Source organism: Homo sapiens, chromosome 12, assembly GCF_000001405.40.
Source record: "Homo sapiens chromosome 12, GRCh38.p14 Primary Assembly".
NCBI classification, from domain to species: Eukaryota; Metazoa; Chordata; class Mammalia; order Primates; family Hominidae; genus Homo; species Homo sapiens.
Window position 1 is genome coordinate 65,561,947 of NC_000012.12, and position 23,191 is coordinate 65,585,137.

General features: G+C 37.8%; 1 long non-coding RNA gene across 4 annotated transcripts in view; it reads right to left on the reverse strand.

The window, feature by feature from the left end:
- The window catches only part of MSRB3-AS1 (MSRB3 antisense RNA 1), a 175,556-nt gene that overhangs the window by 95,130 nt on the left and 57,235 nt on the right, over positions 1-23,191 (reverse strand). For 3 of the 4 annotated variants that reach the window (NR_120431.1, NR_120433.1, NR_120432.1), the window contains one exon: positions 8,045-8,102. This is a non-coding gene — a long non-coding RNA (MSRB3 antisense RNA 1). Of the gene's footprint in view, positions 1-8,044; positions 8,123-23,191 lie in introns of all 4 variants that reach the window. The other variant, NR_120434.1, reaches the window with a different exon arrangement.

The window sequence follows — 23,191 nt, forward strand, 5'->3', positions numbered from 1 at the left end:
GAGAAAGACAACCTGCAAGTTTATACAGCCCTCCTCCTGCCTCCATGAGAACCTGACAGAGGCATTTGAACCAGAGCGACTCCATCTTGAATAGAGGCTGGGTAAAATAAGGCTGAGACCTACTGGGCTGCATTCCCAGGAGGTCAGGCATTCTTAGTCACAGGATGAGATAGGAGGTTGGCACAAGACACAGGTCGCAAAGACCCTGCTGATAAAACAGGATGTGGTAAAGAAGCCGGCCAAATCCCACTAAAACCAAGATGGTGATGAAAGTGACCTCTGGTCATCTACATTACTCATTATACGTTAACTATAATGCACTAGCTTGCTAAAAGACACTCTCACCAGCACCAGGACAGTTTACGAATGCCATGGTAACATTCGGAATTTACCCTACATAATCTAAAAAGGAGAGGGACCCTCAGTTTCGGGAAATCTCTGACCCCTTCCTGGAAAACTCATGAATAATCCACCCCTTGTTTATCAAATAATCAAGAAATAACTCTAAGTATACTCAATTGAGCAGCTTATACCACTGCTCTGGCTATAGAGTAGCCATTCTTTTGTTCCTTTACTTTCTTAATAAACTTGCTTTCACTTTACTGTATGGACTCACCCTGAATTCTCTCTTGCTTGAGGTCCAGGAACCCTGTCTTGGGGTCTGGATTGAGACTCCTTTCATTGAGAAAGGAGATTGAGACTAACAGATCCATAATTTCTCCATTACTTACACACTGTTTTGGGAAGAAGGAGGGAAGGGGAGATCTATAGAAAGTAGAGAATAGACTCTGATAGGGAGTTTCAGCATCAAATTGAGTGAAGGAAGCCCTCTTCCCCTTTTTTTCCACCCTGGAAGAGACTGTAACTTAGCAAGTTTATTTCCACCATTGGTGGAAATGAGAGCTTCAGAGCAAGATTAAATCAGTTACAGAAAATAAATAAGCTACTGTTTTTGTACATCTGATTTGTAAGGTGTTAATCTTGACCCTGCAACATCTGCGATTTTAGCTTCATCTTTCAGCAAAAGGCAGTCTGCTAGATGGAAAACTGTTCAGGACTGGGAGTTGACCTTCGGTTACTCCTGGCTCTGCCACTAACTAGCTGTGTGATATTGGTTAAGACACTTAGTCTTCTACTTCGAAATGTCATCAACTCTAAAATTACAAGGTTGGATCAGATCCATGATTTTCAAATGTTCATGGCTGCAGAGCCCTTTTGTTAAAACCTTACTTAGATGGCCAATATATAAAACAGATACCTCTGGCGTTTCCTCTGGCAAAGTGGGAAGTAGATGTCTGGGACCACATATGCTAGGAGGCCCCTTGGGCTCCCTGCAAAGTCCCTAAATCACCTCCACAGAGCCCTTCCCAGGTATGCACTTCAAAGACCAGTGAAGGCAATGATCTCTCTGGTCCTTTTTGATTGTAATCCCCAATGATTCAATATATGCCCAAGGCCAGGGGTGGTTGACAGCAGCATGAAGTAATCTGTTCCATGGTCCATGGGCATCTAAGGAGATTGGCGTTAGCTTGTCCTTTTGCAGACAAGGCAATTTACCTTAGTGTTAAAACAACAAAAAAAACCTCCAGCACTTCATGGTGGTTGGGGGTTCTCTTATTTACAACCAAAGAAGAAGAAGAAGAAGAATAAGGAGGAGGAGGAGGACGAGGAGGAGGAGGAGGGGAGGAGGAGGAGGGGGAGGAGGAGGAGGAGGAAGAAGAAGAAGAGGAAGAGGAAGAGGAAGAAGAAGAAGAAGAAGAAGAGGAAGCAGCAGCAGCAGAAGCAGCAGCAGCAGCAGCAGCAGCTTGAGGTAACCATGAACTAGAAATTGTGTCCCCATTATATGACTAACATAGCAGAGTCAGGTCCTGGATCCACCATTTAGTATGCCAGGTAGAGTGTATGTCACCTCATTAGTCCTCACAACAACCCAAGAGGTATGATCCTCATTTTACAGATAAGAACGCTATATAGCAGGTTAAGGAACTTGCTCAAATATCACACTATTACAGAGAATTGTGACTTTTAAAAAAAACATTTACTCCCTCCTAAATGAGATGCTCAAATTTATAATCAGTTACCAAAGCCGTGGAAATTTCTCATCTCACAGAACCTACCATTCAATGACTCTTAGAGCATTTTTGCACATGAAATGGACAAGAAAAATGTTTGTGACAATCTGAATTTTAAATGGAGATCAAGGGTCCTTGCAGTAGTGAAGGAAAAGCAGGCATCTTTCCTTCCATTTCATGGACTTATATTTTAAGAAGCTCAGCCATTCCAGTCCATGCAGAAAAATACTCTCAAAGGAATATTTACAATGTGGATCTTATATTAAACATTTGGTTTTATATGCTTAAATATTTATAAAAGCATACGTTGAATAAATTTTAGTCTACAAACTGAAGTGTTCAAAACATATCAATTTCCTCATTTCTTTAAATCAATTTAATTTTCTGACTCTCAGCCTCCATCCTTAAAAGATGGCAAAAACATCTACCTCATCCTTTTGAGGGCCCCCTCTCCTTCCCAAAACCATACCACTACCTGGAAAGCTTGCTCGGGATAAGGACAATTGAGGAAGGAGCTCTAACCTCCAATTTTTCAAGGTATCACTGGCATCCCACTGTGAAGCCCACAGTGGGCCCAGAATTTTGGTGGTGCCAATTTGTGGTTAGAAGGCTTTGAGGAAAGTGCCTCCCTCTAGATGCCCTGAGGAGCCATCTCCTCTGGGAAGGGATAGCTTTATTCACAAGTGACATGGGTAGTCTCACAGGGTCCCCTGCTCAGAAAAACCCTGAGTTTGTTTTAATGCTCTTCTATTGAAGTCCTGAAATTTGGACAAAAGTTTCCACAGTTTCATTTTGCACTGGGCCTTGCAAATTATAAAGCTGATCCTAAAACTAATGGGTTTAGTTAGCAGCTCTTCTGCTCGCTTTCTTAGAGGGGTCTTCAGCCTTCCTTCTCTATCCTATTAGGCAAAAGAGCTTCTCTTGCCTCGCTTTGCCCTCCAGTGACTTTGCCTCTCTTTTTTGGAGTCTGGGGCACTTAACATTATCTCTTCAAGGGTCTTAGGCTTTTACAAAAGACAAAAATAGTCACGGAGGACTTCAGGGGCTTTCCCCTTCCATCCTGCAAAAAGTCCCTGAGGCAAAGGAGCATACAAGGAACAGGTTCCTGCTTAAAATCAGCGAAGAAGGAAAAAAATGTGTGAGGAGAAAAACCATACCTTAATATTTTAATAAATTGTTATACCACATATGTAGTTTGTTTTAATTAAGTTATTTTATAATCAGTTTTGATGACTTTGTCATATGAAATGGGCCTCTAGAATAGAACCCCAACACATACTCCTGTACCCGTAAAAAGCAGGGACACAGAGAAGTCAGCGGGGTGTTGCTATGAGTAGGGTGAGCATATGTATTATAGCTCACACTGGGACACATCTGAAATAGGAAGGAATTGCTATCAATAATTACACCAGAGCAGTAAGAGTGAGCTGAAACCACCCTGGGCAAACTCAAATACATGGGCACCCCACCTATAAATGATAGAGGCAGAATTTGAACGTGGGTCTGTGTTACTCCCACCATTGGGATATTAATTAGGATAATCTGTAGCCAGCTCAACAGACTGACCACCAATGCTTTATTCCACATCCATTCTGTTGTTTTGCTGTTGACATGGCCTGAGAAAGGCTAGGTTCACAACTGGAGAATTTTATTCATGAGAAGCCCAGCAACCGCATTCCTTTGTTGTAACTGGCCAGTGCTCCAGGCATGAATGAGGCAAGTTTCATCTTCAATATTTACTGAAAACAGACGCTGAAGTTTGAGAAGCAAATGTAAAGTGCTCATTCCAAAGCCTCTTTATATACATGTTAAATCAGTTTGTGGGAAAGAGACCACAGAGATTGTTTAAACATTCATACTGATGACACAACTGTTCTAAAATATGCAGTTTCTTGTAGTTATATGTGGAATTAATTGCATATGGAGAAAGTCATCTAAGTCATCTTTTGAAACTGGCTAAAAGGAAATAGTCCATAACTCAGTGATATCAACATACACACCACTGTTCTGGGGACTCTACTTCACTTTTTTTCTTATCTCAGGCACTGTCTGAAGACGCTGTTTTCTCACTCAAGGCGTCATGACTCAGCTATGTAGCTCTGTCGAGAGACAGAAAAAAAAATCTGGGGCCAGAATGGAAGAGATAGCATTTAAGCACAACTGGAACTGTTGTGACCCTGGATTCTGGAGTGCAGCTCACTTCACCATGTTGCCATCGGCAGAGGAGTCTAGAAGAGTTGGTTCCTCTCTGCCCTTGAATTCCATCAGAGTCACGTGGCAAGTCAGTTGGAAGTAGATTTTCTCCCTTACCACACAGCACATTCCAATAGTCATTCTTAACTGAATTACCCCAAATTCTTAGCAGGGTCTCCTGTTAACCACAAGCGGTTAGATAGCTATGTTTAGACAGCAATGGCTCCTTATCTCCTTCACGCTGAGGGAAATCAGCGGTCCTTTCCTAGTGGCGGCTTGAGGCTCAGCTCCTCTGGGATGGAATCAGACCTCCACCACAGCCCTCAACCACAGGGAGTGGGACTCCCCCATATGTCTTATTCACAGCAGTAATCACACGTTTAGTACATCTGTTGTTTTAAATTTTTAGTCCCATTAATTCTTCCTTTTTAAACAAAAAGATATGAGGAGTTGAGAATCCCCATATTCACTTTGAAGTACCCTCACTTAAGGGGGAGATTTGGGGGAAAAAAATTGAGACATGAGGCAATCCTGAAAATATGAATAAAAGAATATAAATATTTCTCCAGTCTCTCTAGTCTTCATTAAAATACATAAGAGGAAGAAACTGGTTTGCCCTTCTATATTTAATTTGGACTCTAACCTCTTTGAAAATTCAGTGGTATGATTAATTTTAGCTTATCTTATGGAATGACTCTTCACCTATAAATAAGTCTGTTCGTCTTCAGAAGACCATAAATATGCCTCCTGGTTTAGAGCTATTTTTAAATATCTCTTACATATAATTGTAATGAGATCTGCTTCCAGGACAATAGCTTAGTATCAGTTACATTTCTATTATGTTCTGTTAGTTTCTTGGTTGGGAAACATGCAAAAATGAGCTTACTTGAATGAATATGAATATTCAATGTTAAGCAGAGTAATAAAGACAAAAGAGAACCTGATATTTGATCTAACAAGACTAAAAAGAGCAAAACAAGAGAAGGAGAGAAGAGGAGGAGGTGGAGACAGAGAAGTAGAGATAAAAAAAAAACAGAAGAGTTGGAGGAGGGAGAGAATAAAAGCTTGGGAGTTTTAAATTTCAGGTAAAGGTGTAGAAATTTTTATTTTTAATTTTTTTTCTATGTTGTCCCACACAATGTTGGAAAATAGGTGGAATAGTGAGGAGAGAACAGGACAGGCATTAGAGGTTCCTTCCTTACCCCTTCATCAGCCAAGTGCCTGATTCTCCACTTTTCTATCTCTCAGAGTCCCCAGGCTCACATGAGGTTTGCACACCCATACAGGAACGTGTTATCTCTATACTCACACATTAAACATGGCATGGCATTATTGGATGTCTTGAGGCCAATGATGTCAGAAGTTATTTTCAGTGTAAAGTTATATACAAGTAATTAATAATACTTATAACAATCATATATGCTTCAAATTAGTGATAAAAGCAACCTGGTAAATGAAAAATGACATACTCGGCTATTAAAAATTATATTGCTACAGAAAAAAGTTGAGAATCTGGTATTTCTAGGGCCACAATTAATTTCTTATATTAGAACTCAAATCTTTAAAATAAAATCTCACACATGGGAATTACACTTGGGACTTTACACATGGGAAATGAATGATCAACTTTTCCTTCCTAGGTCATCTCCCATCGGAATAACAGACTTTCCGCTCTATAGAAGACAAAGGACTTGCTTTTCTCCAGAAAAATATCTCCCCATTGATAAATAATGAGCAAATGCAGGACACTTAAGTAGTGTTCCCATCAGTAGTGTGAACCCTGTCAGCACTAACCAGCTGGTCCTTGTCTGTTTTGCAGTCAAAGAAAACGGGAACCCAGTGTGCATCTGAGTTCCCAAGGAGGGAAGGCTATGATTTGCCAGGTGTGTGCATGGGCAGAATGCCCAGTCCCAGGTTGTTTTATAAAAAACCTTGCTCAGGCATGGCCAGCAAAGCTGTGGCAGTCCTGAGGAAGCAAGTAAAAGACCATCATTGCTATTTCTGCAATATGCTTACCCTCTGCAAAACATCCTTGCATTTTCTTGAATTGGTAAACAAGAGTTCAGAGAGGAAGTTAGAGTCATGACAGACAGTTGGAGTGGTAGGCAATTTAACTGTTGTGATTTCTATCATTCATCAAATCAACACAATTATTTCAGTAACCAAATATGCGTTCAGAGAAACCAAGATTATAGAAGGCAGGTGTGGTGAGTGAAGAATTAGCAGATACCAATTTGCTTCTATTTGCAGAATCCAGGAATCAGGATCATATTTACTAATACACTTTGCAGGCAAAGCTTTTAGTTATTTCCATGTAATTGTTATGTAGCAAATCTTGGACAATTCATTTTATGTTTGCCTAACCCAGAAAGGTAAACTGGAATGATAGTGTTTTTCTGGATAATTTGATCCAATGAAATAATGACCTGGAGTCACATGGTGATGTCAGGGTTCTTGCAGCTCACGCCTTAGAACCGAGTTACATGGGAGACCATGTTTGAACAATGTCCTTTAAGGAATTCAGTAACTAAACCCCACTGGACAGGAGCCAAGACAAGCCTGCTTAATGCCAAATTCCACTATAGTGGGTCATGTTATTGGATGGCTCAAATGAATCTGGGCCACGAAAAAGGGCCTCGTTCCCTCTATAGTTAGTTTTTTGTCTGAACTATCCAGATAATTGCTTCATTTTTCAACTTTTGTTTTTCTGCATGGAGTAGAAAGGCAGCTCTACTTATTTAGTTTTGTCTTTTGTTATAATCAAATCATCACCTGTAATTCTCAGAAATCATCCCCATAAAAATATGTAACTTTTGTATATTTCAAAAAGAACCACCTAATTCCACATGGCTACTTATTCTTTTATACATTTATTCATTTGTTCATTGTGATTCATTCAGCCAATATTTAACTGGACAAACAGAAGATACATTATCCTTTTGTATCATGCCACTTATTTGGGAATCTTTAATTAGCAGAAAAATCTTTCAAGTATTAAGAAGCACCAGGAAAAAGTAAACAGCTTTTGGAAAAGTTCTCCTGAAATGCTACGTCTCTGTAAAAACAAAAAGTTTAACCTGCAAAACAAGTGTATTATTTGAAGTTTACACAGCACCTTTTACTGGAAAATGTTCCAAGCATTAACATTTAATCTTACCAACATTAGTCCCAGAAGAAAACCAACCTTTTCTTTCTTTGAAAACCGGAGAAGCAGAGCTGCAGTTTGTGAATTTTCCTCTATTGAATGAACTTTTAGATCTAGACCACGTGTCCCTTATTAAATTCAGGTCACTCTGGAGAGCTCTAAGATATCATGAAAGGAGGCTACACAAAAAGTAGGGTCTTCTTTCACCCCGTCCCTCATTTCTATTTTCCCAATACCTTTCCCTAAACCTTATCAGCCCATTTGAAAAAGAAAGTGATTTATATTTGAAGATAACCCATGTGGTTTGGATCTCTTTTTCTGCTGTTATATTAATCACTGCTGTCTTACTTGTGTCTTGCAAGCAACAACAACAAATAACAAATAGATATCCTCCTGCTAAATGAAAAAGGTTCTATAACCTAAGGGTCAGGGTGAGAGAAGTTATATTCTTAGGGTGCTAAGGTTTAATATTAGGTTTGTGATCATTTTGAGTTCTTTAAATACGGTCTGCAGTGACCTGACAGCAGGTTGGTTGAAGGAAGAGAGTGGACAATCATAGTTACATGAAAATAAAGCTAGAAGGCTCACCTGTGGTTTGCCTGATTGTGTTCCTGCTCTCATGAGTGACACTTACCCAACTCCAACTCTTCAGAAGGGGCCCAACAGAGGACAGACAATCATCCATGCAAAGGCTGTAGGAAGAGTCAAACACCTGGTGAGTAGATGAACCAGATGATCATAGATTATTTTTTAATTCCAAAGTTGTATGAATCCAAATTAAAATTTTTGTTTTCTGTTGTAGTTTTTAATCTTTTGTGTGTGTGACAGAGAATGTAAAATAGAATGCACATACAGAAAAGTACATAAACCAAGCTCCTGTGAAATGACCATTTAGGTCAAGAATAGAACATAGTCATCTCTGAAGTCTTTCCATGACCTTACCAATCACATGCCCCATATCCTGAATTTTATGGTTGTATTAGTCCATTCTCACATTGCTATAAAGATACTACGTGAGACTGGGTAATTTATAAAGGAAAGAGGTTTAATGGACTCACAGTTCAATGGCACAGTTCATGGCTGGGGAGGCCTCAGGAAACTTAAAATCATGGTGGATGGGGAAGCAAACATGTCCTTCTTCACAGGGCAGCAGGAGACAGAAAAATGGGCAAAGGAGGAACTTGCCAAACACGTAAAACCATCATATATCATGAGAACTCTCTCACTATCACAAGAACAGCATGGGGGAAACCACCCCCATGATTCAATTACCTCCACCTGGTCTCTCCCTTGACATGTGGGGATTACGGGGATTAAACTTCAAGATGAGATTGTGGGTAGGGAACACAGCCAAACCATATCAATGTTAAATATTTCTTTTCTTTTTAGATCTATCACTATGCAATATAGTTTAATTTGCATGTTTTAGAAAAAACCTTATATAAACAGAACCATATACTGTGTGTTTTGCTATTTTTGCTCTACCTTATGGTTCTAAGATTGACCCATGCTGTTAGACACAGTTGTCCTTCCTTCATTTTTGTGGCTAGACCCAGATAAGTTCTGCTGAATAAAGGCTTAAGCAAGTCCTGAGCCCCCTCGGCTGGTACTTCACTGGTAATTCAGCAGGACTGGTTATTCTGTGTCTAGGGTTCTGTTGCAGAGAACAGAATACTCTCTAGCTAATTTAGGCAGGTAGCGATTTACTATAGGTTTTTAAGTGGCATAAAGAATTTTTGGAAGGAGAGACAACACAGCCTATAGAGTGAGCTTTTGGTTACCTTCCTTTGCCCTGCCCAGTTACACACAGTACTGGAAACCAAGGGAGCTGCTGCCACTCTAGGATCAGGGCTCCTCAGGCTCCAGCACCACATTGCCACTGCCTTGATCACAAAGCCACTGCAATCAGAGAACCTCCTGATTAAAAGGTATCAGGATTATGAAGCCACTAATGCTACATACTCCAGAACCATTCTGTTCCTGACACAAACTGCACTAGCAAAAATGGATGTCCATTGCCTTTCTCCTAAATACCCATGCAAGGTACCTATGCTAGCAACCAAATCTCTGCTGACATTGCCAAGAAGACCAAACACCTTTATAACACACCTGCCAGCAGAAATGGCAAAAGCAATATGAGGATATTTGGTTTGCAAAGCCTAAATACATCTGGGACTTTAGCTGAAATGTGTGAGAAAAAGTAGTCTTCATTGCACATCACGGCAATGGCTTTCAAATTTGGGATCAGAACCCATCATTAGCAGATCATGAGAACATTAAAAGAAAGAAAATAGAACAGAATAGAAAATATCAGAAATCATGAACTCAGTAAGCACAAGTACTATTTTGTAGTACACATATGTGTATACTGGATTGCAATATCAGATGTTTTTCTTACTGTGGGTTGAGTTATTTAAAAAGTTTAAAAGCCACTGCACTAAAAGGAGGGTAGAATAGGTATTGAGTGCCAATCAACCATATTCACCACAATTTCTCTTATTGAACATAGAGTTCAACTGTTGAACATGTTCAACAATGAGACTCTTGGCAGATCTTGTCGGCTAGTGTCTTCTAACAATCTACTTTGGAGCATCTTAGTGGTCTGGATCTTCTTTACAGCCTGAACAATTCAGAAACACAAGACACAATGCTGGTAGCTTGGATCAAATCCTCTCCACAAATGCCTTAAATTCAGCTAAGATCACTTAAGCTCCAGAAAAGATAGGATTTAGAAGTCTGTGTGTTGCCAATAACTGGTAGAGTGCTCTGACTGAGGACACAGATGGTTGTGTCTACCTGCCTCCCTTTCGAAGTCATCCTCCACAAGTCCCTTTGTGAGCTTTTAAAAACACAAACCTGATTATTTCACTTTTGTTTTAAAGCATTTGAAATATTCTTTGGCTTATGGCAGTGATTCATAAACTTGAGATGTTTGTTAAAATACAGATTCCCAGATCCTCCTCAGGGATTCTAACTCAATAACTTCAGGATGAGTCCCAGGAATCTGTACTTTTAGTGGGAACCGCTAGTGAATAAAAACTGGACTACTAAGCATGATCAAAACAATTTGTCCCACACCGACCTGGCCCACCTACAATTTTCCATTCTGTTTCTCCCTCCCCATCACCAGTCTCTCTTCTCTTACCTTCTTGCCGCCCTCCCTCTTTCTCCCATCTCAAACATCCTTACTCTCCCCTCACTTCCACCCAAAGACAAATAACTCACCTTAAAGAACCTAGCTCCAATATTACCTCTTTAGGAAACCTTTTATATGCTAATAAAGCTTTTTTGATACTCCATATATTTAATAATGCATTATATTGTTGTAATCATATTAAATTGTAATTACTAGTTGACATGCCATTTTTCCCTACTAAAGCTAGGACTGTATTAGGTACAATTAGTGTATCTTATTTTTTTTTATTATTTTATTTTATTTTTTGTCTTGCTCTTTCCCCCAGGCTAGAGTGAAGTAGTGCCATCTCGGCTCACTGCAACCTCCACCCCCTGAGTTCAAGCGATTCTCCTGCCTCAGCTTCCTCCTGAGTAGCTGGAATTATAGGCATCTGCCACCATGCCTGGCTAATTTTTGTATTTTTAGTAGAGACGGGGTTTCACCATGTTGGCCAGGCTGGTCTTGAACTCCTGACCTCAGGTAATCCGCCTGCCTTGGCCTCCCAAAGTACTGGGATTGCAGGTGTGAGCCACCACGCCTGGACATCTTATTTTTTTTATATTTCCAGTGCCTGGCACATGGTAGATATATCAACAATTTTTGTTTAATGAATGAATGAGTGAATGAATTATATATGGTTGGATGGTTAGATGGATATAACTGCTTCTCTAAACTATGGAATTAAAAAAAATATATGGATCCGCAGTGGAGATTAGGACTGTTACAGCTGGAACAGCTGATCATAGTTGCCGATGCCTTTGGAAAACTAAGTGCATATGGGTTAAGTCCAGGTTCCATGAAATTCAATGTGAGCCATCAATAATGTTGAATGTGGAAGGTGGAGGTTTGATTGGGAGCTGAATATTGGCATAGTATCAAAGTATCTCCCTGCCAAATACTTATGAAGAGGGAAAACATTGAGTTTATGATGGAGAAACTTAGTAGATGTCAATTTGATCCAGTGAACAGCAACTTCACTATTGGAGGGAGAGATTGGCCTCATGTGTCTCTTGATGTGATAGCCCAAGTAAAGTACAGCATCAGAGCATTCCTGCAAAGTAGTAATGGCCTGATTCTGGACATGAGGAATCATCAGATAAACTTAGGTAGAGGAATATCTACAGAATGAAGAGATAGAAAGATTGAAGAACTGTTCCAGAATGAAGAAGATTTAAAAATCTATGACAATTAAATGCAATGCATGATCCTGGGTTGACTCCTGGACAAGAAAATAAAGAGATATTATTGGGACAGTTGGAAAAACTTGAGAGTGTTCTGTTAATTAGATAGCAGTGTTATATCAATGTTGATTTCTTAATTTGGAGGGTTGTAAGGTGGTTATGTAGGAGAATGTATTTGTTTTGGAGAAATATACACTGGAGGAATTGGGAGTGATTAATCATCAGGTCTGCAATTACTGCTTAAATGGTTTATAACAGAATAATGTAAATTTTGAGAGAGAGAGAGAGAGATGGAGGAAAGGGGTAAAATGTTAATAATTGGGAACTTTGGGTAAGGAGATATGGGAGTTTTTGTACATATCTTGCCAATTTTCTTTAAATTTCATTTAAAAATAAATGATTGACTTCTACTTGTAGCCAAGATGGAATAACAGGGATCAGATTCAGCTCTCTGACTCAAACAACTGCAAAGGTAGCTACAGTGTGTAGGACAGAGTAGTTGGGATACAGGAGTGAGTAACTCTGGAGATCCTCAGAGGATTCCCTTTGAGTATTCAGCAGAGTGCTGATTAAAACATGTATGTGAGAAAATGGTCCAACGCTGGAGAAACTATTAGATAAAAAATATTCAGCAGTTAAAAGGCTGGGAATGGGGTCTGTTCCCAATAGCCAGACTGAAAAATCTTGTAATTTATGGAGCATTGGGTAGAGTAGTTAGAAAGGTCCTGTCTCAGTACTAGGGAATAAATTACCAGACTAAATGCTGCCATGGTCCAGCCAAACAAATCTTAAAAAGCAAGACTCAAAAGGATCAAAATGTTTCCAAGGAACTTAACTATATCCCAGAACAAAGCTCAAGAATATTTATAGGTACACAAAAATATCCAGGACCCAACAAGGTAATATTCACAGTGTCTGGCAACCAATAAAAGAGTGCCAGACATTCTAAGAAGCAGAAAAAATAAGACCCATAATGAAGAGAATAATCAATCAATTGAAATCTACCCAGAACTGACACAGATGTTAGCATTATTAAACACAGACATTTGAAAAGTTAATTTAACAGTATTCCAAAAGCTAAAAAAAATATAGAGTATGTTATAAAAATACAAAAAAAATCAAACAGCGAGAGCTAAAAACTATAATGTCTGAGATGAAAAATACACTAGATGGGATTTATAGCAGTTAAAACATTACAGAATAAAAGATTAGCAAACTTGAAAACATCAATAGAAGCTACTCAAGACAAAACACAAAGAGGAAATAAAAATATTTTAAAATAATTATAAGAGCTTCAGTAGTTGTGAGACAAATTTTATCAGGCTAATATGTAATGAGATACTCATTAATGTACATGTAATATACATTACACTACATCATACATTACATAATATACATTACATCATTAATATACATGTAATAATATACATGTAAGACAGTAGGGAGAAGGCAAAAAAATTGACATTATATAGCTGGAAATTTCCAAATTTGATGATATCTATAAACCCACAGATCCAACAACCCCAAAGAACTCTAATTACAAGAAACATAAAGAAAATTACACCAAGGAATATAATAATCAAATTTCTCCAAAGCAATGATAAATAGAAAATCTTAAAAGTAGCCAGAGAAAGAACATGTATTACATAAGAGGAACAAAGATATGACAGCCAGCAAATTCCTCATCTGAAACTATGCAAGCGAAAGACAGTGGATCAACATATTTAGAAGGAAAAATAACTATCATCTATATTCAGTGAAATAAAAACTCTTTCAGTCATACAAAAGCTGAAATAATTGATCACCAATAGCACCTCAATACAAGAAATGTTAAAAGAAGCCCTTCAAGTAGAAGAAAAATGGTACCAGATGAAAATCTGAATCTACTTAAAAAAACAAGGAGAACCATAAATGGGAACTATGGAAAACTATACTTGATTTATGTTCTTAAATTTAAATTCTTAAAAAGATATTTGATTATTTAAACAAAATTATAGCAATGTGCTGTGAAGTCTATGACATAAAAAAGATACAAAGTGTCAAAGTGCACAAAAGAAGAACTAGAAAACTTGATTAGCTTTATACTTATTAAAAATTGAACTTATAATTCCTTAATATAAAAAATTTCGGCCGGGCGCGGTGGCTCACGCCTGTAATCCCAGCACTTTGGGAGGCTGAGGCGAGCGGATCACGAGGTCAGGAGATCGAGACCATCCCGGCTAAAACGGTGAAACCCCGTCTCTACTAAAAATACAAAAAATTAGCCGGGCGTAGTAGCGGGCGCCTGTAGTCCCAGCTACTTGGGAGGCTGAGGCAGGAGAATGGCGTGAACCCGGGAGGCAGAGCTTGCAGTGAGCCGAGATCCCGCCACTGCACTCCAGCCTGGGCGACAGAGCGAGACTCCGTCTCAAAAAAAAAAAAAAAAAAAAAAAAAAAAAAATTTCAGGCTTAGATGGCATCACTAATGAATTCTCCCAAATATTTAGGGAACATATAATACTAATCTTACACAAACTCTTACAGAAAATTGAAGAGAATGAAATACTTCCCATCTTATTTTGTGAGGTTACTATTATCCTGATACCAAAACCAAACAAAAACATTATAAGATTAGAAAATAACGGAACAATATTCCTCAGGAACATAGACACAAAAATTGGAACCATATTTTAGAAAATTGAATCCAAGAATATATGAAAAGGATAATACATCCTGACCAAATAGGGTTTATTTTGGGAATGAAAGTTTGGCTTACTATTAAAAATCAATCAAAGTAATATATCCTATTAACACATGAAAATATAAAAACTATATCATTATCTGAATAGATGCTGCTATGATTTGAATGTATCCTCCAAAAGTTCATGTGTTGAAAAGTTAATACACGAATTTATATGTCGATGGTATTCAGAGGTGGAGTCTTTGCGAGGTAATTAGGATTAGATGAGGTCATGAGGGTGGGGTGCCCATGGTATAATTAGTGGCTTTATAAGGAAGGGAAGAGAGATCTAAGCCAGCACTTTCTCGCACCGTGTGATCTTTTTGCCATTATTATGGAGCAAGAAGGCTGTCACCAGACGCAGCCCCTTAATCTTGGAATTCTCAGTCTCCAGAACTTTAAGAAATACATTTTTTCTATGCAAAATATCTAGTCTGTGGTATTCTCTTACAGCAGCAGAAAAACAGACTAAGACAGATGCAGAAAGAGCATTTGACAAAATCAAACATCTGTTCCTAACTAAAAAAAAAAAAAAAAAAAAAAACAACTCTCAGCTAACCAGAAATAGAACTTCCACTCAATCTGATAAAAGGTATCTAAGAAAAACCTAGAGGAAACATAATACTTAATTGTGAAAAATACAAAGATTTTTTCCTAAATTAAGGAAGAAAAAGATGTACTACTATTCAACACCGTGCTAGAGGTTTAATTAGAGCAATAAGGCAAAAAATTGCATTTAAGTTAAGAAAGATAAAGCAAAATTGTTTTTATTTGCGGAGTGCGTGATTGTTTATGTAGGAAATCTGATGGAATCTACAACAATCCCTAGAACCAATAAGTAAATTTAGCAAGTTTGAAGAGTACAAGATCAATGCCAAAATCAATTGTATTTCTACATATTAGCACTTGGAAATTGAAATGTAAAAAATGCTATTAAAATACATTAAAAGTAATGGTAAAAACTGCAATTACTTTTAGACCAACCCAATATTGGAGATAACATTAAAATATAAAATAATTAGGAATAAATCTGACAAAAGATGGACAAGACTTGTACATGAAAACTATAAAATATTGCTGAGGAAAATGAACTATGACCTAAACAACAGAGAGACATACCTTGTTCATGGGCCTTAAGGTTTAATATTATTAGATGCCAATTCTACCCAAATTGATCTGTAGCTTCAATGAAATACTCAATAAAATCTTAGGCTTTGTTTTTGGTAATAGTCAAAAGACTGATACTAAAATTCATATCAAAATGCAAAGAAGTTAGAATAGCCAAATCATCTTGAGAAAAGAAAAACGAGATCAGAAGACTTATACTGTTTTATTATAAAGAGTTATTATATAGTGTTTATATAGACTTATTATAAAGGTAATCAGGACGCTTTGGCATTGGTGTAAATATGGACAAATTAATCAATGGAACAGAATAGGCAGTGCAGAAACAGATCCATACATACGACAACCAATGGATATATGGGTACCACACATATGGACAAGTAATATTCAACAAAGGTACAAAGACAATTCAGGGTAGAAAGAATAGTCTTTTTACAAATGATGCTGAAAAACTTTTGCAAAATAATAGAGAACTTGGATCAATACCTATAGTTATATAAAGAAATTAACTCAAAATGGATCATAGACCTAAATGTAAACCTCAGACTATAAAGATATAAGACATAGACACAGATATTTTAGATACAACATAAAATGCGTGATACACAAAAGAAAAACATGAAATGATGAACCGTTAAAAATATCAACATTAAAACCTATGCTCTTTGAAAGACATTAATTAAGTCACAAACCACCAAATGGGAGAAAATATTTGTAAAGCATTTATCTCAGAAAGGATTTATATTCTAGAATATATTTTTTAAACTCTCAAAACTCAATGATAAAAACCAAACAACCCAACTAAAAACTCACTTTAAAAAAATGGGAGACATATTTGAGCAGATTCTTTCCCAAAGAAGATCCAGGTTGAGCATCCCTAATCTGAAAGTCTGAAATTTGAAATGCTCCAAAATTTGAAACTTTTTGAGCACAACTATTCCACATCTGACCTGAAATTTAAAATATTATAAAAAATTGCCTTTGGGCTATGTGTATAAAGTGTATATGAAACATAAATAAATTTCATGTTTAGACTTGTGTTTCATTCCCAAGGTATCTTATTATGTATATGCAAATATTCCAGAATTTTTTTTTTAAATCTGAATTACAAAACACTTCTGATCCCAAGGATTTTAGATAAGGGATATTCAATCTGTATATGAATAATGAATAGACACATTTTGTTAAGAAAATGAACATTAAAACCACAGTAAGATGCCACTGTTAACCAATTAGAAAGGCTAAAATTTAAAAAGACTAACCATATCAACTAATGAAGATATAGAGGAACTGGAGCTCTCATATATTATTGTTATTACCAATTTGGAAAATAGTTTGGCAATGTCTTTAAAAGTTCAATATAAACCTCCTATATTATCCAAACATTGTACCCTAGATATTTACTCAAGAGAAAAGAAAGCGTACATCCATACAATGATGCATATATGAATGTTCATAGCTGCTTTATTTGAGACAACCAAATGTCCATAAATAGGTAAATGTATTGTGCTATATCTATTGTATGAAATGATAGTAATTTAAAGGAATGAATTATTTTTACACACAATAATTTTGAGATAAATCTCAAAATAATCATGCAGAGTGAAAGAAGCTAAACCAAAAAGAGTACTAAGTAAACACATCTATTGTAATAGAAAGTGGGTCAGTGATTGCCTGGGAGGAGTGGGTAGGAAGAATAGGAAGGAGGGATTACAAAAAGGCAGGGGGGAAATATTGATCTTTCATCTTCAATTGATATTCACTATCATGGTTGTGGCAATGGTTTCATGGGCTTACACATTTGTCAAATTGTACAAATTGTACCAGTTTACCATTCATATTTATACCTCAATAAAGCTGTTTTTAAAAAACTATAAAATAAAATATTAAAAAGTATTAAGGAGCCCTATATAAGACAGAAAATACATGTTGGTTGCTCGCAAATTGGATTGAGTCAGATTAAAAATAGAAAAACCAAAGGTTTTTTTTTCAGCTGTTGCAAAAGGGGTTGAGTTATTGATTTAATTCTCAGCTTGGTCGCTGTTGGTGTATAGCAGGGTTACTGCTTTGTGTACATTCATTTTGTATCTTGGTACTTTGCTGAACTCATTTACCAGTTCTGGGAGCTTTTTGGATGAGTCTGTAGGGTTTTCTAGGTATATGATCATGTCATCACCAAACAGTGACAGTTTGACTTCCTCTTTACCAATTTGGATGCCGTTTATTTCTTTCTCTTGTCTGATTGCTCTGGCTAGGACTTCCAGTAGCATGATGAACTGAAGTGGTGAAAGTGGGCATCCTTGTCTTGTTCCACTTCTCAGGGGGAATACCTTTAACTCTTCCCCATCAGTATTAATGTTGGCTGTGGGTTTGTCATAGGTGGCTTTTATTACTTTAAGGTACACTTAAGCAAGGAGGTGAAAGACCTCTGCAAAGAAAACTGCAAAACACTGCTGAAAGAAATCATAGACAAAACAAACAAATGGAAACACATCCCATGCTCATGGATGGGTAGATTCAATATTGTAAAAATGACCATACTGCCAAAAGCAATCTACAAATTTAATGCAATTCCCATCAAAATACCACCATTGTTCTTCACAGAACTAGATAAAACAATCCTAAAATTCATATGAAACTGAAAAAGAGCCCACATAGCCAAAGCAAGACTAAGCAAAAAGAACAAATCTGGAGGCATCACATTACCCAACTTCAAACTATACTATAAGGCCAGACATCATGGTACCGGTATAAAAACAGGCATATGGACCAACGGAACAGAACAGAGAACCCAGAAATAAAGCCAAATACTTAAGTCAACTGATCTTTGACAAAGCAAAAGAAAATATATAAAGCGGGGAAAGGACACCCTGTTCAACGAATGGTGCTGGGATCACTGGCAAGTCACGTGTAGAAGAGTGAAACTGGATCCTTATTTCTCACTTTGTACAAAAATCAACTCAATGGGTCAAAGACTTAAAACTAAGATCTGAAACCATAAAAATTTTAGAAGACAACTTTGGAAAAACTCTGCTAGACATTGGCTTAGGCAAAGAATTCATGACCAAGAACCCAAAAGCAAGCACAATAAAAACAAAGATAAAGAGATGTGAATTAAACTAAAAAGCTTCTGCACAGCAAAGGAAATAATCAGCAGAGTTAATGGTCAACCCACAGAGTGGGAGAAAATCTTCACAATCTATACATCCAACAAAGGACTAATATCCAGAATCTACAAGGAACTCAAACAAATCAGCAAGAGAAAAACAAAAACAATCCCATCAGAAAGCGGGCTAGGGACATGAATAGGCAGTTCTCAAAAGAAGACCTACAAACAGTCAACAAACATGAAAAAGTGCTCAACATCATTAATTATCAGGGAAATCAAAACCACAGTGTGACACCACCTTACCCCTGCAAAAATGGCTATAAACAAAAAATAAAAAATAAAAGATGTTGGCATGGATGTTTTGAAAAGGGAACACTTTTACACTGCTGGCAGGAATGTAAACTAGTACAACCACTATGGAAAACAGTGTGGAGATTCCTCAAAGAACTAAGAGTACATCTACCATTTGATCCAGCAATCCCACTCCTGGGGATCTACCCAGAGGAAAAGAACTCATTATATGAAAAAGATACTTGGACACGCATGTTTATAGCAGCATAATTCACAATTGCAAAAATATAGAACCAGCCCAAATGCCCATCAGTCACTGAGTGGATAAAGAAAACTTGGTATATATACCCCAGAATACTACTCAGCCATAAAAAGGAATGAAATAACGGCATTTGCAGCAGCCTGGATGGAATTGGAGATCATTATTCTGAGTGAAGTAACTCAGGAATGGAAAACCAAACATCATATGTTCTCACTCATAAGTGGGAGCTAAGCTATGCAGATGCAAAGGCATAAAAATGATACAATGGACTTTGGGAACTTGGGGGGAACAATGGGAGTGGGGTAAGGGTTAATAAACTACACATTGGGTACAGTGTACACTGCTCAGGTGATGGGTGCATCAAAATCTCAAAAATCACCACTAAAGAACTTATTCATGTAACTAAACACCACGTGTTCCCCAAAGTCCTATTGAAATAAAAAAAAAGTAGGTAGAAAACCAATGAAGTAGAAAATATATCTATTGGATACACTTGCAACAGGAGAGATAAAAACAACAAAACACTATCCTTACTCTAGGTGATAGTTCCATGGGACAAAAGTTATACCTTAAGGCCACAGTATAGGTAGACATAGTCTTACTTGGAAAAAGTGAACATTCCTTGTGTTTTTCATCAGAAGAGCTGTGTCCTCAAGAAGAAAACCAGAACTCTGAACTCTGGTTTTAGGCAGGCAGGAAGGGATTACCTGTCTCTCTGTAGACTTTGCACTTTAGGGTCTTGTTGGAGGGTATAACGTTTAATCTCTACTGAGGAATACCCATTACTAGGTCATTCCCCATATTCCTAATAACTCCTTCCCAGGAGAAGTGCACTGAGTTATCTGATTAATGAGTTTGGAAACAGAAACAGCTCTCCTCCCTCCTACCTTTCTCTTTGGAACAACCTGACTTTGGGCTGTAAGTATTCTTCTCTGTTCCTCTTTGATAACTTTTTTTTTTTTTTTTACAGGAATAGTCCGCCTTTTCCAAATAGTGGAGAAGACAGACATGATTAGATGCTGTCTGAACTGATTAGACCGTTATGATTAGATGACTCGGTAAGTCTGTGATTCTGGTGTTCAATATTAAGAACTTGCCCCCACAGATTCAAGCTGCAATCTCCTAAATCACTTTTGTCATTAAACAGGGAGGAATTTTTGCCTTCGTTTGCTATTTTGTCTTATTTCTCAATTGCTTCAGAGCTTAGCGAGGAATAGAGTTATTATATATTGAGCTCTCTCAAAGGCCTCAATAAATATGGACTTCCAAGAGCCAAGCAGAGCTAATGGGTTCTCCCATTGGCCTTTATCATGTGGAAGAAGTGCATTAACTAGGCAGGAAGACATCCCAGAAAACAGTTCCCAGCTGTAAATAAATATGATTGTAGATTTTTAAAATCTATAATTAAAAAAATCTACAATCCTCTTGTGAACCTAAAATTCTGGCCTTTATTTTATGGTTTAACAGAAATTGAAGTCGAGGATTTGTTTTCATGTTTGGTCTATGTGAATGTTAATTGAAAACAATGTTCTCTCCCAGCCCTCAGTTTACATCAAGTGTGGGGCTGATTGGCCATTATTAATGAAATACTAGCAACATTGTGTCCACAACTTCTAGGAAACAAAAAAACAACCACCACCAACAAAAACTTCTATTATTTGATCTGCAGTGTTCAGGGAGCATCTTCCTTTTCAGTTTTACAAGTAAGTATTAAAGAGCTGAACCAAAAAAAAAAAATTATTCAACCAGGTGCGGTGGTTCCCACCTGTAATCCCAGCACTTTGGGAGACCAGGTGGGTGGATCGCTTGAGCCCAGGAGTTCAAGACTAGCCTAGGCAACATGGCAAAACCCTGTCTCTACAAAAAAAATAATAATAATACTAATACAAAAATTAGCCTGGTGTGGTGGCACACTCCTGTAGTCTCAACTACTTAGGAGACTGAGGTGGGTGAATCGCTTGAGCCTGGGAGGTCAAGGCTGCAGAGCTGTGTTTGCACCACTGCACTCCAGCCTGGGCCGCAAAGTGAGACCCTGTCTCAAAAGAAAAAAAAATATTCTATTGAAGATGTTCTGACCATATGCACCATTTGTTCCTGCAATGCAGGCCTCTGAAGACTTTCTGGTTCGTATCCTTTCTGAGTACTGGTTTAAATTTTTCCTCAATTCATCTAGCTTCCCCATGTCTTTCCATTAAATCCCTTCCTCTGCTTAGGTTAACCAGAATCTCTTTCTGATGATTGCAACCAAAAACGTAACTGATTCATTTTGCTTAAATAGATATTCAAATCTTTCCATTTACCTCACGAGAGCAAAAGGTGCATTTCTAGATTTCTGGTGAGTGAATATAATGACTAAATCTAAATAGAATGACCATGGTTTCCTCCTGTGAACCTTACATTTTTTGGAGATTAGGAGGGAGGGTATATTGTAGTTCTTGACATCCAGGCTGTTTAAATGGGAATCAATTTTTTGGACATTCACTCCATGAAGTTGTGTGTATTCCAGGTGCTTACCAGGGTGCCTACCACATTCTAGGCATAAAATCAAAGAACACATTCACCACATCCTTCCAGCAGCATTCACTGTTATGGTGGTGTTTTATCTTGAAGTCTAAGTTCTTTGATAGAAAAGACTGTGAAGTGTTACTTTGCCTACTAAGACACCACACATGGAGCTGGCATCCCTTATTGTCATCCACAGATGATCATGCTCACCTTGCATGCATGTTAAGTGAATTTAAGTTCTATTGTGTATACTGCTGACCATCTTGCACTGGGCTGTATTTTTATGACCCAGCTCTTGGTTTTACTTTCACATGAAAAAAGATAACCGAAATTCCCAAATGCCAGATAATTTCAAATTCTACAGTAGTTTTGGAGATTTCTTTAAAAGAAGTATAAACAACATATGCCTTCAAGATCCAAAGCATCTGCTAAAAGCCTTTACACTTTACATCCTTAATCTGTGAGCGGATTATAGAGTAATTCTCTGCCACTGGAGGATGGCTGGTATAGCTGGATAAGCTAGAGATATTACAGTCTGCAATTCCTACCCTGGGGATTAGTAAGGGCTCTCTACGTGCATGTGGTTGAGAGCATTTTGTAAGAAGCTGTCTCTTTAATTTCTAACATGTATCATAAGCTAGTTTCACTGTCTTTTATGAGACATTACAAATTTCAAATCCCATTCAAGCAATGGGCACATTTTGCTTGAGACCATCCTGCAACTTGCCATCTGAGAAGTTCCTAAGGCGGGCGGATCACGAGGTCAGGAGATCGAGACCATCCCGGCTAAAACGGTGAAACCCCGTCTCTACTAAAAATACAAAAAATTAGCCGGGCGTAGTGGCGGGCGCCTGTAGTCCCAGCTACTTGGGAGGCTGAGGCAGGAGAATGGCGTGAACCCGGGAGGCGGAGCTTGCAGTGAGCCGAGATCCCGCCACTGCACTCCAGCCTGGGCGACAGAGCGAGACTCCGTCTCAAAAAAAAAAAAAAAAAAAAAAAAAAAAAAAAAAAAAAAGATGGCAGCAAGGTTTCTACAGTGCAATATAAATAGCAAGCTTCCAAACTAGGCTTTTCATTCCTTTCATGAGGTTATAGCTCTGAATAATGACTGCTTTCAGTTAGTCAGCATACGGCCAATAATCCCATTAGTTTATCAATATTCTACTATTACGTAAAACAGAATTCTTCTTTTTTTTATTTTTTTTATTTTTTGAGACACAGTGTCTCTGTCGCCCAGGCTAGAGTGCAGTGGTACAACCTCGGCTCACTGCAACCTCTGCCTCCTGGGTTCAAGCAATTCTCCTGCCTCAGCCTCCCAAGTAGCTGGGATTACAAGCACCTGCCACCACACCCGGTTAAATTTTGTATTTTTAGTAAAGACAGGGTTTCACCATGTTGGCCAGGCTGGTCTCGA